Source organism: Homo sapiens, chromosome 10 (genome assembly GCF_000001405.40).
Source record: "Homo sapiens chromosome 10, GRCh38.p14 Primary Assembly".
In the NCBI taxonomy this organism is placed as follows: domain Eukaryota; kingdom Metazoa; phylum Chordata; class Mammalia; order Primates; family Hominidae; genus Homo; species Homo sapiens.
In genome coordinates this window covers 5,129,592-5,146,622 of record NC_000010.11, presented here as the reverse complement: position 1 = coordinate 5,146,622, position 17,031 = coordinate 5,129,592, and the positions used below count along the sequence as shown (strand labels likewise).

The window sequence follows — 17,031 nt, the reverse complement described above, 5'->3', positions numbered from 1 at the left end:
AGTCACTAATTTCCTGGCCTTTCACAAATTGTGGAGTATGGTAATGTGGATAGTTTATGCATCTGCAAAAACAGTTCATATTGTAAACTATTAGCACTTTCTATATTACGAGACATAAGCTTCTCTCTCGGGATATCTAGAAGCTCTTAGGTCATGGATACATTGCTTGATCTGTTATTTCAAATACCTGAGCTAATTTTTTTAACTTTACCAATCAACATTAGTTACAACCAAGCAACATTATTTTATTGAATAATTTTTTTTCTTCTTTTATTATTATACTTTAAGTTTTAGGGTACATGTGCACATTGTGCAGGTTAGTTACATACGTATACATGTGCCATGCTGGTGCTGCACCCACTAACTCGTCATCTAGCATTCGGTATATCTCCCAATGCTATCCCTCCCCCCTCCCCCCACCCCACAACAGTCCCCCAGAGTGTGATGTTCCCCTTCCTGTGTCCATGTGACCTCATTGTTCAATTCCCACCTATGAGTGAGAATATGCGGTGTTTGGTTTTTTGTTCTTGCAATAGTTTACTGAGAATGATGATTTCCAATTTCATCCATGTCCCTACAAAGGACATGAACTTATCATTTTTTATGGCTGCATAGTATTCCATGGTGTATATGTGCCACATTTTCTTAATCCAGTCTATCATTGTTGGACATTTGGGTTGGTTCCAAGTCTTTGCTATTGTGAATAGTGCCGCAATAAACATATGTGCACATGTGTCTTTATAGCAGCATGATTTATAATCCTTTGGGTATATACCCAGTAATGGGATGGCTGGGTCAAATGGTATTTCTAGTTCTAGATCCCTGAGGAATCGCCACACTGACTTCCACAATGGTTGAACTAGTTGACAGTCCCACCAATAGTGTAAAAGTGTTCCTATTTCTCCACATCCTCTCCAGCACCTGTTGTTTCCTGACTTTTTAATGATTGCCATTCTAACTGGTGTGAGATGGTGTCTCACTGTGGTTTTGATTTGCATTTCTCTGATGGCCAGTGATGATGAGCATTTTTTCATGTGTTTTTTGGCTGCATAAATGTCTTCTTTTGAGAAATGTCTGTTCATGTCCTTTGCCCACTTTTTGATGGGGTTGTTTGTTTTTTTTCTTGTAAATTTGTTTGAGTTCATTGTAGATTCTGGATATTAGCCCTTTATCAGATGAGTAGGTTGCGAAAATTTTCTCCCATTTTGTAGGTTGCCTGTTCACTCTGATGGTAGTTTCTTTTGCTGTGCAGAAGCTCTTTAGTTGAATTAGATCCCATTTGTCAATTTTGTCTTTTGTTGCCATTGCTTTTGGTGTTTTAGACATGAAGTCCTTGCCCATGCCTATGTCCTGAATGGTATTGCCTAGGTTTTCTTCTAGGGTTTTTATGGTTTTAGGTCTAACGTTTAAGTCTTTAATCCATCTTGAATTGATATATGCAAATCAATAAATGTAATCCAGTATATAAACAGAGCCAAAGACAAAAACCACATGATTATCTCAATAGATGCAGAAAAGGCCTTTGACAAAATTCAACAACCCTTCATGCTAAAAACTCTCAATAAATTAGGTATTGATGGGACATATTTCAAAATAATAAGAGCTATCTATGACAAACCCACAGCCAATATCATACTGAATGGGCAAAAACTGGAAGCATTCCCTTTGAAAACTGGCACAAGACAGGGATGCCCTCTCTCACCACTCCTATTCAACATAGTGTTGGAAGTTCTGGCCAGGGCAATTAGGCAGGAGAAAGAAATAAAGCGTAGTCAATTAAGAAAAGAGGAAGTCAAATTGTCCCTGTTTGCAGACGACATGATTGTATATCTAGAAAACCCCATTGTCTCAGCCCAAAATCTCCTTAAGCTGATAAGCAACTTCAGCAAAGTCTCAGGATACAAAATCAATGTACAAATATCACAAGCATTCTTATACACCAATAACAGACAGAGAGCCAAATCATGAGTGAATTCCCATTCACAATTGCTTCAAAGAGAATAAAATACCTAGGAATCCAACTTACAAGGGATGTGAAGGACCTTTTCAAGGAGAACTACAAACCACTGCTCAAGGAAATAAAAGAGGATACAAAGAAATGGAAGAACATTCCATGCTCATGGGTAGGAAGAATCAATATCGTGAAAATGGCCATACTGCCCAAGGTAATTTACAGATTCAATGCCATCCCCATCAAGCTACCAATGCCTTTCTTCACAGATTTGGAAAAAACTACTTTAAAGTTCATATGGAACCAAAAAAGAGCCCGCATCGCCAAGTCAATCCTAAGCCAAAAGAAGAAAGCTGGAGGCATCACGCTACCTGACTTCAAACTATACTACAAGGCTACAGTAACCAAAACAGCATGGTACTGGTACCAAAACAGAGATATAGATCAATGGAACAGAACAGAGCCCTCAGAAGTAACACCGCATATCTACAACTATCTGATCTTTGACAAACCTGAGAAAAACAAGCAATGGGGAAAGGATTCCCTATTTAATAAATGGTGCCGGGAAAACTGGCTAGCCATATGTAGAAAGCTGAAACTGAATAATTTTCCATAACTATTCAAAAGTATCATATATAGAGTTACCAATTTCCTGGCCTTTTGCAAATTGTGGAATATGGTAATGTGGATAGTTTATGCATCTCTAAGAACAGTTCATATTGTCAACTATTAGCACTTTCTGTATTATTGGAAATAGAGTCTTTAGTATTCTCAAGTTTGGTTAGATTAGAGTGGTCATTCCATAAACTCCAAAATGAATTCAGAAAACTCAGTATAAATTCTGTTCCCCTAGAACCACTTCCACTGCCAAAATCAATATGGTTAAAATTCTCCAAAGAAACAGAAATCTAAAATATATATAGATATAAATATATAGATATTATATATAATATATATCTAAATATATTTAATAATATATCTAGTATATGTTAGATCCATATGTTTACACATGTATTATATATACATGTATATGTGTGTCATCTCATATATAAATGTATAAAATCATTTTTATGATTTTATGTATGAACAGGAATACATTTGAGGGATTGCCTCATTTCAATTATGTTTTCTGAAAAGCGCTACCAAGCACCTTTCAAAAGCTGTAGAACCATGAAAGCCAGTGCCATGGCCAATTCCAACTGTGAAGGCCTGAAATCAGGGGAGTCATCAAAGTATCCTCCAGTCTAAGGCTGAAAGCCTGAGAAGCTGAGGGCCACTGGTGAAAGTCCTAGAGTGCAAAGATCAGAAGGCCTGGAGTTCTGATGTTTCTGACGTCCAGGGGTAGAAGGCACTCGTGAACAAGTTCAAAGATCAGAAGGCTTGGAGTTCTGATGTCCACGGGTAGAAGATGGGTGACCCAGCTTCAGGAGAGAGAGAGCAAGCTGACTTTTCCTCTGCTTGTTTATCAGAAACGTCAGCTAATAGAAGGGTTGTTTCCCATATTGAATTAGGGCAATTTTTTTAAGTTGGTCCCTTGATTCAAATGTCAATATCATGCAGAGTCATCCTCACAGGTACACCCAGAAATGATGCCCTACCATGTATTGGCATACTGCTTAATCCAATCCAGTTGGCACCTAAAATTAACGGTTACACTTGATATATTCCTTATAAATTAACCCATTTATGAACACAGTACACCTCATTTTGTTATGACTCACTTTTTTGTCCTTCAAAGATACTGTATTTTTTTAAAAAAGGAATTGAACATTTGTAGCAACCCTGCATTGAACAAGCCTGTTAGTACCATTTTTCCAATAGCACATGTTCACTCTGTGTTTTTTCCCCACATTTCAGTAATTTTTGCAATATTTCAAACTTCCACTGTATTATTATATCTGTTATGGTAATGTCTGATCTGTAATCTTGATGTTACTGTTATACTTGTTTTGGGATACCCTAAACTGTGCCCATATAAGATAGTGAATGCAATAGATAATTGTGTGTCTTCTGACCGCTTCAGTGACAGGTGGTTCCCCTATCTCTTTCCCTCTGTTCAGGCCTTCCTATACCCTAAGACATAACGATGTTAAAACTAGGTCAAATTGTAACCCTACAGTGACCTCTAAATATTCACATGAAAGAAAGAATAACGTATTTTTCATTTAAGCACAAAAGCTACACATGATTAAGCTTATTGAGGAATGCATGTTGAAGGCTGAGGTAGGTTGAAAGCTAGGTCTATTGTGTTAATTATTAGCCAAGTTGTGAATACAAAGGAAAAGTTCTTTAAGGAAACTACAGTGCTACTCCAGTGAATACGAAATGGTTAGAATGCAAAACAAGCTTTACTACTGATAAGAAGAAAGTTTTAATGACGTGGACAGAAGATCAACCAGCCACAACATTCCCTTAGGCCAAAGCCTAATCCAGAAGAAGACCTTAACTCTCTTCAAGTGTATGAAGGCTCATAGAGGTGAGGATGCGGCAGAGAAGATGTTAGAAATCTAGTAGAGGTTGATTCATGAGGTTGAATAAAATAAGCCATTTCCATAACAAAAAAGTGCAAAATAAAGCAAGTACTGATGGAGAATCTGCAGCAGGTCAACCAGAAGATTTATGTAAGATCATTAATGAAAGCGACTACAATAAGCAATCGATTTTGAATGTAGATGAAAGGGCCTTGTACCAAAAAAGGTGCCATCTAGGACTTTCATATTTAAAAGGAAGTCAATGCCTGGATTCAAAAGACAGGCTGACTCTTGTGTTAGTAGCTCCCATTCCTGGTGATTTCAGGATAAAACCAATGCTTTGTTATAATTTCAAAACCATGCTCTATAAATAGAAAAAGCTGTCTTACAGCATAGCTCTTTATAGCATGGTTACTGAATATTTCAAGTCTACTGTTTAAAATAAAAAGCAGAAGTTGAAACCTGCTCAAAAATAGAGATTCCTTTCAAAATATTACTGTTGAATGGCAATACACCTGGTTAATAAAGAGTTCTAATGCAGAGGTACCAAAAGATTACTTCTGTTTTTATGACTGCTTTCACAATATTTATTCTTCAGTACATGGATAAAGGAGCAATTTTAACTTTCAAGTCTTATTGTTCATAAAATACATTTCAATCAGTTACAGCTGCTGTAGATAATGATTCTTCTGATGAATCTAGGAAAAGTAAATGGAAAGCCTTCTGGAAAGAATTCAGCATTCTGAATGCCATCATGAAAATTTGTAAGAAATTCATAAGAAAATGTCAAAATATCAACATGAATAGAAGTTTGGAAAAAGTTAATTACAACTCTCATGGATGATTTTAAGGGGGTTAAGGCTTTGGTAACTGCAGATGTAATGGAAATAGCAAGAAAGGTAGAATGAGAAGTAGAGCCTTAATATGTGACTGAATTGCTGTAATTTCATGATAAAACTTTAAGAGATTAAGAGTTCCTTCATATGAATGCACAAAAAGTTGTTCTTGGGTTGAAATCTACTCTTTTCTTAACCATTGTGAGATGGTGAAGATGCTGTAAATATTGCTGCAATGACAACAAAGGATTTAAAATATTATGAAAAGATAGTTGATAAAGCAGTGGCTGGGTTACAGAGAATTGACTTCAACTTTCAAAGAAGTTCCACACTGTGTAAGCTGTCAAACAGCAGAGAAATCTCTCTACAGAGAAATCTTTCATGAAAGAAGTCTATCAATGAGGCAAATTTCATTGTTGTATTTTATTTAAGAAATTGCCACAGTCATTTCAGAACTCAGCAACCATGACCCTGATCAGTCAGCAGCAATCAACAGTGAGGGAATAATTTCTTTCTTTCTTTCTTTTTTTAAATTATACTTTAAGTTCTAGGGTACATGTGCACAATGTGCAGGTATGTTGCATATATGTACATGTGCACAATGTGCAGGTATGTTGCATATATGTACATGTGCCATGTTGGTTTGCAGCACCCATTAACTCGTCATTTACATTAGGTATTTCTCCTAATGCTATCCCTCCCCCAACCCCCCACCCCACAACAGGTCCTGGTGTGTGATGTTTCCCGCCCTGTGTCCAAGCGTTCTCATTGTTCAGTTCCCACCTATGAGTGAGAACATGTGGTGTTTGGTTTTCTGTCCTTGAGATTGTTTGCTCAGAATGATGGTTTCCAGCTTCATCCATGTCCCTACAAAGGACATGAACTCATCCTTTTTTATGGCTGCATAGTATTCCATGGTGTATATGTGCCACATTTTCTTAATCCAGTCTATCATTGATGGACATTTGGGTTGGTTCCAAGTCTTTGCTATTGTGAATAGTGCTGCAGTAAACATATGTGTGCATGTGTCTTTATAGTAGCATGATTTATAATCCTTTGGGTATATACCCAGTAATGGGATCGCTGGGTCAAATGGTATTTCTAGTTCTAGATCCTTGAGAAATCGCCACACTGTCTTCCACAGTGGTTGAACTAGTTTACACTCCCACCAACAGTGTAAAAACATTCCTATTTCTCCACATCCTCTCCAGCATCTGTTGTTTCCTGACTTTTTAATGATCATCATTCTAACTGGTGTGAGATGGTATCTCATTGTGGTTTTGATTTGCATTTCTCTGATGACCAGTGATGATGAGCATTTTTTCATGTGTCTGTTTGCTGCATAGATGTCTTCTTTTGAGAAGTGTCTATTCATGTCCTTTGCCCACTTTTTGATGAGGTTGTTTGATTTTTTCTTGTGAATTTGTTTAAGTTCTTTGTAGATTCTGGATATTAGCCCTTTGTCAGATGGGTAGGTTGCAAAAATTTTCTCCCATTCTGTAGGTTGCCTGTTCACTCTGATGGTAGTTCCTTTTGCTGTGCAGAAGCTCTTTAACTAGATCCCATTTGTCTATTTTGGCTTTTGTTGCCATTGTTTTTGGTGTTTTAGTCATGATGTCCTTGCCCATGCCTATGTCCTGAATGGTATTGCCTAGGTTTTCTTCTACGGTATTTATGGTTTTAGGTCTAACATTTAAGTCTTTAATCCATGTTGAATTAATTTTTGTACAAGATATAAGGAAGGGATCCAATTTCAGCTTTCTATATATGGCTAGCCAGTTTTCCCAGCACCATTTATTAAATAGGGAATCCTTTCCCCATTTCTTGTTTTTGTCAGGTTTATCAAAGATCAGATGGTTGTAGAGGTGTGGTGATATTTCTGAGGGCTCTGTTCTGTTCCATTGGTCTATATCTCTGTTTTGGTACTAGTACCATGTTGTTTTGGTTACTGTAGCCTTGTAGTATAGTTTGAAGTCCGGTAGCATAATGCCTCCAGCTTTGTTCTTTTTGCTTAGGATTGTCTTGGCAATGCAGGCTCTTTTTTGGTTCCATATGAACTTTAAAGTAGTTTTTTCCAATTCTGTGAAGAAAGTCATTGGTAGTTTGATGGGGATGGCATTGAATCTATAAATTACCTTGGGCAGTATGGCCATTTTCACCATATTGATTCTTCCTATCCATGAGCATGGAATGTCCTTCCATTGTGTCCTCTTTTATTTCATTGAGCAGTGGTTTGTAGTTCTCCTTGAAAAGGTCCTTCACATCCCTTGTAAGTTGGATTCCTAGGTATTTTATTCTCTTTGAAGCAATTGTGAATGGGAGTTCACTCATGATTTGGCTCTCTATCTGTTATTGGTGTATAGGAATGCTTGTGATTTTTGCTCATTGATTTTGTATCCTGAGACTTTGCTGAAGTTGCTTATCAGCTTAAGGAGATTTTGGGCTGAGATGTTGGGGTTTTCTAGATATATAATCATGTCATCTGCAAACAGGGACAATTTGACTTCCTCTTTTCCTAATTGAATACTCTTTATTTCTTTCTCTTGCCTGATTTCTCTTGCTCCTATGTTGAATAGGAGTGGTGAGAGAGGGCATCCCTGTCTTGTGCTATTGTGGGAAGTCAGGGACGCCGAATGGAGGGACCGACTGGAGCTGTGGCAGAGGAACATAAATTGTGAAGATTTAATGGACATTTATCAGTTCCCAAATAATACTTTTATAATTTCTTATGCCTGTCTTTACTTTAATCTCTTAATCCTGTTATCTTCATAAGCTGAGGATGTACATCGCCTCAAGACCACTGTGATAATTCTGTTAAGTGTACACATTGATTGTAAAACTTGTGTGTTTGAACAATATGAAATCAGTGCACCTTGAAAAAGAACAGAATAACAGTGATTTTTAGGGAACAAGGGAAGACAACCATAAGGTCTGACTGCCTGCAGGGTCAGGCAAAAAGAGCCATATTTTTCTTTTTGCAAACAGCCTATAAATGGACGTGCAAGTAGGGAAGATATCACTAAATTCTTTTCCTAGCAAGGAATATTAATATTAATACCCTGGGAAGGGAATGCATTACTGGGGTGAGGTCTATAAACGGCCGCTCTGGGAATGTTTTTCTTATGTGGTTGAGATAAGGGCTGAGATACACCCTGGTCTCCTGCAGTACCCTTGGGCTTACTAGGGTGTGGAAAAACTCCACTCTGGTAAATTTGTGGTCAGACCAGTTCTCTGCTTTCGAACCCTGTTTTCTGTTGTGTAAGATGTTTATCAAGACAGTACGTGCACCGCTGAACATAGACCCTTATCAGTAGTTCTGCTTTTGCCCTTTGCCTTATGATCTTTGTTGGACCCTTATCAGTAGTTCTGCTTTTGCCCTTTGTCCTGTTCCCTCAGAAGCATGTGATCTTTCTTAGACCCTTATTAGTAGTTCTGCTTTTTGCCCTTTGAAGCATGTGATCTTTGTACCTATTCCCTGTTCTTACACCCCCTCCCCTTTTGAAATCCTTAATAAAAATTTGCTGGTTTTGAGGCTCAGGCAGGCATCACGGTCCTACTGATATGTGATGTCACCCCTGGCGGCCCAGTTGTAAAATTCCTCTCTTTATACTGTCTCTCTTTATTTCTCAGCTGGCTGACACTCATGGAAAATAGAAAGAACATACACTGAAGTATTGGGGGCAAGTTGCCCCAATATTGTGCCAGTTTTCAAAGGGAATGCTTCCAGTTTTTGCCCATTCAGTATGATATTGGCTGTGGGTTTGTCATAAATAGCTCTTATTACCTAGTTTATTGAGAGTTTTTAGCATGAAGCAGGGTTGAATTTTGTCGAAGGCCTTTTCTCCATCTATTGAGATAATCATGTGATTTTTGTTGTTGGTCCTGTTTATGTGATAGATTACGTTTATTGATTTGTGTATGTTGAACCAGTCTTGCATCCCAGGGATGAAGCTAACTTGATCTTGGTGGATAAGCTTTTTGATGTGCTGCTGGATTCGGTTTGCCAGTATTTTATTGAGGATTTTTGCCTTGATGCTCATCAGGGATATTGGTCTAAAATTCTCTTTTTTGTTGTGTCTCTGCCAGGCTTTGGTATCAGGATGATGCTGGCCTCTGTCTTCTGCATCAATCACGCTGGGAGCTGCAGATGGGAGCTGTTCATATTCAGCCATCTTGGAATGGACTCCCAGTGAGGGAATAGTTTCTAGCAGCCAAAAGATTACATCCTGCTGAAGGTTCAGAAAATTGTTAGCATTTTGTAACAAAAAATGTTTAAATTAAGATATGTATATTGTTTCCTTAGACAGATACTATTGCTTACCTAATATAAAATAGTGTAAACATAATTTTTACATACAGTTGAAATTTAAAAATTTATGTGATTCATTTTATTGTGGTATTTGCTTTATGTTGGTGGTCTGGAATGTGACTTTTAATAGCTATAAAATATGCCTGTGTTTTATATCTTGTTTATCTCTTGTCAGAATTTTTGACTAAATGTTATTTCGTCTGATTCTAGTACAGCTATCACACCTTTTCTTTGGTTACTATTTTCTTAAAATACTTATTGTTGTCCTTCATGTTCACACTATTTATGTCCTCCTCTAAAGGAAGTTTCTGATTCAGAACATATAGTTGCATCCTGGATTTTTTAAAACCCATTCTGCAAATTGTCCTTTTGATGTGGAAATTTAAGCCATTTACATTTAATGTACACTTATGAAACACATAGCAAAGCACATTAAGATATCATTTTACACAAGTGAGAATGACTATTCTTAAAATGTCAAAAAACAACAGATATTGGTGTGGATTCATCAGGGATGTTAATCATGGATCATGCAAACTGGAATACAGTGGTATGACCTTGGCTCACTGTAGCCTCTGCCTCCCAGGTTGAACTTATCTCCTGCCTCAGCCTCTTGAGTAGCTGGAATTATAGGCATTTGCCACCACACGTGGCTAATTTTTGTATTTTTGGTAGAGACGAGGTTTCGTCATATTCGCCAGGCTGGTCTTGAACACTGGATCTCAAGTGATCCACCTACCTCAGCCTCCCAAAGTGCTGGGATTACGGGTGTGAGCCAACGTGTCTGGCCCAATCATTACATTCAAATTTGCCCTCCAAAGAGAGACACAAGTAAAAATTAAGGCATGTGAGGATTATTCACCAATTTATTGTAATTAGATTCCAGTTTTATGAATAACATTTAACAGGATCACAAATTATGTAAAATAGTTACCAGTTTTTTGGAACATTACCTTTGATAGTTTCTTATAAAACTATGTGAAAGATACAAATACTATAAGGCACTGTTTCCATATTACAAATGATGTCCAAAGACCAGACATTGTTAATTAATACTCCAATAAACATCATGTCATAATTTCTGCATTTTCTTTTTCCTTTGAACCCTTGTCAGGATTACAACATCATCAGGACTGCATTTTCATCAGGAATGAATATTCCTTCTACAATGCAAAGAAAAAAAACCCAAAATATTTGCTGATGGAAAGGTAAAAGGAGAAATTTTCTTTGGTTTTAATGTTTAACTTTTTTATTGTCACCTGTTAAAAAATGCTTACTAGTCATTCCTTTAGCATCATGTGAGAGAAAGATGTACAATGATTGATCATTTATATGACATAAAATAAAGATGAAACATCATCACGGCATGAACAAAAACGAGACTTGTTGCTGGAGTTGTTTTATAGTCCAACATATGATAATTAATCATTCTATAAATCTATTGGAGGAATTTATGAGATAGACAGATGATAGATGATAGATAGATAGATGATAGATGATAGATAGATAGATAATAGATAGCCAGATAGATAGATAGATAGATAGATTCCAGATGGAAAATTTTACTTTAGTAAGAAAATAATAATTTTATTCTGACTATATTAAAATGTACTTAAGAATTCTCTTTGATAAAAAACAAGTGCACTGGATTCAATTTTCTTCATAGCCTGTGTAATACACCATCACTTGCCTCTTCCTACATGACATTGGTCAGCCCCAGACAGTGGGCAGTGTAGCATTGCCTGCCCATTGTTTATACAACCTGTGAATATAAATGCTGGATGTTGAAGAAGGAAACCGTGTCTGCTTAGCGAAAGGAATGACATTCAATGGATCCCAAATATCAGTGTGTGGAGCTAAATGATGGTCATTTCATGCCTGTATTAGGATTTGGCACCTGTGTACCTCCAGAGGTAACATAATCATATTTTCAGTGTTGGGCATTTAAAAGAGCAAAGCTAGAATAAGTAGATGACTTGGGTTTTAGCTTTGTGTTCCTGTGTTACTCTGCGTGACTCACCTGGTCTGTTTTAATAGGCCAGAGCTATTCCATGTTCAAAGAGAAAAGGTAGTCAATCTTTGTTCTGCATTGGGGTCTGGTCATATGGTCGTGTACTGCTTACTTTTATTTTGTGCACTGTTTTTTTCTTCTGTTTATGGGTGTTCCCAGCTTTGCAGAATATTTAAAACTCAAGAGTGAAGAACGCTGCCTGGCATTTCCTTTTGTAGGTGATTGACTGCAGTGGAATGGTTTCTCCGTTTCTTTCTATAATTGAAGAAATTGTTTGTTCTTCCAAGTATACATGATCGAACAAAATCTTTGTGGTAACAGTGTCTGGAGACGGGGTGTATGAAAACTCTTAGGGAGAGTATTGCTGAGCTGCTGTGTGGCCTTGAGCATGACAGAGTAATAATACTGGTCTTGGACTTAATACAAGTTCCCATGTACAACTTTCACCTCTAGGAAAATTAAAAGGAAAAATAACTTTAAGAAAAAACTAGAACCTCGAAGGAGAAATTTTAGATTTTTGGTCCATGTTAATATGCATCAGATTTGTATCAAAATGGTATGGATGGTCCCCTGACATGAAAGTAGGCAAAATGGAGACTTTATTTTCTAGACTGAACTATTTCTATACTGGAAGAAAACGTGTATTCCAAGGCTACTAAGTGCTTGAATAAGGACTAGTCATATAAAATTTGTCTCACTTTTCTCAACTGTACATTGTAAGAATTTACAGAGAGACATCTTGAAGACCATCAACACTAGCGGTTTACTTTGTAATGAAAATTGGCATGAGGGGGAAGTAAGGAAAAGCACAACATGGAAGCTTTAGCCTTGGTAAACCTTGAGTGCCTCCACAGCAAAGAGAAGATCAGGGCTGGTATCAGGGGAAGGCAGTGAGACCTGGCATCTAGTTCCTTTTAATATCATTGAAAATAGAAAGCTTCTGAAATACTCATATTAAAATAGAAAATTGTTCTATTCATGGCTTTGTTGTTTAAAAAATGTACCTTTCAAATCTTCATCCAAATTTGGTAGATAAATCAATAATTTTAAATTTCACTGAAATTATATCTTTCCTAAAAAAGTTGTCCTTATTTTTTAAGACTAAAATATACTTTACTAATCTTTTACAGGTTGCAGTTAATTTCTTATGTATAAATCTACATCCTTGGAGTGTATGTCTTTACTCGTCATATTTACTTCTGTCATGCACACAGAATGGCTAATGGCTGTGTAGAAAGGAGTGAACACAACAGACTGCCACCCGTAGATGTACCTGTTTTCAAAGTTGGAGGCCAGAATTTCTCACCATTTCCTAACTAATAAGGGTGCTGTCTATAATTAACTGCTTGTACAAAGTGTGGGGTTTCTACATATCTGCTTTGTTTACAAGACTTGGAGTTTTGTGTGTGGTACACAGACTGGGTCAATGTAATCAGTACCCAGGTAAATCTTGGGAATGAAGTGTCCAAATAGCATCCCTTGTAGACAACATTTCCCCTATATTCTCAAAATGTGATGCTGGAGGAAGTCAGTGTGTTTTGTGCAACATCACTGAGAGAGGAATCATAGGAACTTGCACTGTATTCTTCCTGTAGTTCCTTCCATGTGCCTTCTTCCATGTGTTAATTTCACTATATTAAAAATAATTAGGAGGCTTCCTGCAGTGGCTCACGCCTGTAATCGCAGCATTTTGGGCGGCAGAGGCAGGTGGATCCCTTGAGTTTGGGAGCTTGAGCCTGGGCAACATAGCGAAACCCCGTACCTACCAAAAATACAAAAATTTAACTGGCATAATAGCGCGCATCTGTGGTCCTAGCTATTTGGGGAGACGGAGGTGAGAGGATTGTTTCAGTCCGAGATGAAGTGGGGGAGGGGCAGAGTTTTCAGTGAGCTGAGATTGTGCCACTGTACTCTAGCCTGGGTGACAGAGTGAGACTCTGTCTCAAATAATAATAGTAATAATAAAGACTATATTTATAACTGTAATTTGAGTCTTGTTAATTTGTCCAACAAATGACTGAATCTGAGGTTGTTCTTGGGAAACTCATTGCTAGTGATCAACCAGGAATTACCTGGGATTGAAGAGGTCCAGGGATACCCAACATTTATTACTAAGCAGGAAAGACTAAAGCAAATTGGGATGGATTTATCACCCCATATATAGAACTAACCCAAGATGCAAGAATAATGTGATTTTTGTGAGGGTCATTGTTTGTGCCTGAACTACCTGTTGAGCACATTGATCACCAAATACTACTTTTCATTACTCCTCCGGGTTCCTAGGAATAGAGTTGTGGAGGTTACAAAATTAGCAATAGAAGCTGGTTTCTTCCATATTGATTCTGCTCATTTATACAATAATGAGGAGCAGGTTGGACTGGCCATCTGAAGCAAGATTGCAGATGACAGTGTGAAGAGAGAAGACATATTCTACACTTCAAAGGTACTGTGCCTATGATAAGCATGCATGCACATGTATTTAATGTGATAGTGTGGAGATGACAATTCTGTAACTGGATCTGTAGGTGGGTGAATTGTGCTTATTGGTTCCAATTTATTGACACATATTCATGTATTAAAACTAAAATAAAAGGCGGCAAATGATGATGTCTTTCTCATCATTGTTGTGTTCAAATTTGTTACTTGAAAATCACTTTACTTTTTTGAGCCACAGCTCAGATCAGTAAAATATTTTTTATGCGCTCATTTTTTAATTTCAATGGCTTTTGTGGTACAAGTGGATTTTGGTTACATGAATGAATTCTATAGTGATGATTCTGAGATTTAAGCGAGCCCATCAGGCCATCAGTGGACACTGTACTCAATATGTAGGCTTTTATCCCTCACCTTACTCCCAACCTCCCCCAACACTGAGTCCTGAAAGGCCATTATATCATCTGTATGTCTTTACATCCTCATAGCTTAGTTCCCACTTATAAGTGAGAAGGTACTGTGTTTGGTTTTCCATTCCTGAATTACTTAGAATAATGGCCTTAATCTCCATCCAAGTTGCTACAAAAGACATTATTTCAATCCTTTTTACATATACACCATTCTATGATGTACATATAACACATTTTCATTATTCATGCATTGGTCAACGGACTCTTAGGTTGGTTTTATATTTTTGCAATTGTGAATTGCACTGCTATACACGTGTGTGCATGTGTCTTTTTCATGCAAGCTTTTCTTTTTGATAGATGCCAGTAGTGGGACTGATGGATCAAATGGCAGATCTACTTCTGAGTTCTTTGAGGAATCTCCATACTGTTTTCCATAGGAGTTTTACTCATTTACATTCCCACCAGCAATGTAAAAGTGTTCTCTTTTCACTACATTCATGCCAACTTCTACTGTTTTTGTTTTTTTTTTTACTTTTAAATTATAACCATTCTTGCAGGAGTAAGGTGGTGTCTCACTGTGGTTTTAATTTGCACTTCCCTGATTATTAGTAATGTTGAACCTTTTTTCATATGTTTGTTGGCTGTTTGTATATCTACTTTTGAGAAATGTCTATTCGTGTCATTTGCCCACTTTTGGATGGGATTATTTGTTTTTATCTTGCTGACTTGTTTGAGTTCCTTGGAGATTCTGGACAATAGTCCTTTGATGGAAGCGTAGTTTGCAAAAATTTTCTCTCATTCTGTAGGTTGTCTCTTTACTCTCATGATTATTTCTTTTGCTGTGCAGAATTATTTTAGTTTAATTAGGTCCCATTTATTTATTTTTGTTTTTTGTGCATTTGCTTTTGGGGGTCTTAGAGATAAATTCTTTGTCGAGGCCAATGTAAGGAAGAGTTTTTCCAATGTTATCTTCTAGAATTTTTATGGTTTCAGGTCTTAGACTTAAGTTTTTGATCCATCTTGAGTTGATTTGTGTATAAGGAGAGATGGTATCCAGTTTCATTCTTCTACATGTGGCTTACCAGTTATCCCAGCACCATTTATTGAATAGAGTCTTTTCCCCAATTTATGTTTTTGTTTGCTTTATCAAAGATCAGTATTTGACTTCATTTCTGGGTTCTCTATTTTGTTTCATTTATCTAAATGCCTATTTTTATATTAATACTATGCTCCTTTCCTAACTACAGCCTTCTAGTATAATTCAAAGTCTGGTAATGTACTGCCTCCAGATTTCTTCTTTTTGCTTAGTATTGCTTTGGTTATTGTGGCTCTTTTGTGGTTCCATATGAATTTAGAATATGGCCATTTTCAGAGTATTGATTCTATCTGTAAGCATGGGATGTTTTTCCATTTGTTTGTCTTATGTATCATTTCTTTTAGCAGTGTTTTATAGTTTTCCTTGTAGAGATGTTTCATCTCTTTGATTAAATATGTTCCTAGGGATTTTATTTTATTTTATTTACAGCTGTTGTAAAGGGCTTGATTTCTTAATTTGACTCTCAGCATGGTTGTTGCTGGTTTATGGCAGAAATCAATTTCTGTACATTGATTTTGTAACCTGATACTTTACTGAATTTGTTTATCAAATCTAGGAGACTTTTGGATGAGTCTTTAGGGTTTTGTAGGTATATGATTATATTATTGGCAAACAGCAATACTTTAACTTCCTCTATTCAAATTTCAATGCCCTTTCTTACTTTTTCTTTCTTGATTTCTCTGGCTAGGACCTCCAGGATTAAGTTTAATATTAACAGAAGTGGTAAAATTGAGCATCCTTGTCTTGAACCAGTTCTCAGGGGAATGTTTTAAACTTTTCTCCATTCAGTATAATGTTGGCTTTGGGTTTGTCATATATGGCTTTTATTATTTTCAGGGAAGTCCCTTTTATGTCTAGTTTGTTGAGGGTTTTAATCATAAAGCAATGGCGGATTTTACCAATTGCTTTTTTTGCATCTATTGAGATAACCATATGGTTTTTCTTTTTTAATTCTCTTTGTGTTATATATCATATTTATTGACTTGCCTATGTTATACCATCCCTGCACCCTTGGGATGGAACCCACTTGATCATGATGTATTATCTTTTTGATATGCTGATGCATTTGGTTAGCTAGTATTTTCTTGAGGATTTTTTTAATCTATGTTCACCAGGGATATTGGCCTATAGTTTTCTATTTTTGTTATGTCCTTTCCTCGTTTTGGTATTAGGGTGATACTGGCTTCACAGAATAATTTAGGCAGAGTTCCGTCTCTCTCTATCTTTTTGAATATTTTCAGTAGGATTCGTACCAACTTCTTTTTGAATGTCAAGTAGAATTCTGCTGTGAATCCATCTGATCCTTGGCTTTTTTTGTTGGCAATTTTTTATTACTGATTCATTCTTGGTGCTTGTTATTGGTCTGTTCTGGTTTTCTATTTCTTCCTGATCTAATCTAAGAAGGTTGTATGTTTCTAGGAATTTATCCATTTACTCTAGATTTTACAGTTTGTGCACATAAAGGTGTTCTTAGTTGTCTTGAATGATTTTTTGTATTTCTGTGATATCATTTG

General features: G+C 36.7%; 1 protein-coding gene across 9 annotated transcripts in view; it reads left to right on the top strand.

Annotated features, from left to right (window-relative positions):
• The window catches only part of AKR1C8 (aldo-keto reductase family 1 member C8), a 69,338-nt gene that overhangs the window by 38,528 nt on the left and 13,779 nt on the right, over window positions 1-17,031 (top strand). For 7 of the 9 annotated variants that reach the window (XM_047425162.1, XM_047425161.1, XM_047425160.1 and 4 more), the window contains exons 9-10: window positions 9,345-9,493; window positions 10,682-10,775. In XM_047425162.1, the coding sequence (XP_047281118.1) occupies window positions 9,345-9,459 (115 nt within the window). In that variant the 3' untranslated portion in view covers window positions 9,460-9,493; window positions 10,682-10,775. Of the gene's footprint in view, window positions 1-9,344; window positions 9,506-10,681; window positions 10,776-11,233; window positions 13,276-17,031 lie in introns of those variants that run through there. The other 2 variants (XM_047425163.1, XM_047425157.1) reach the window with 2 other exon arrangements.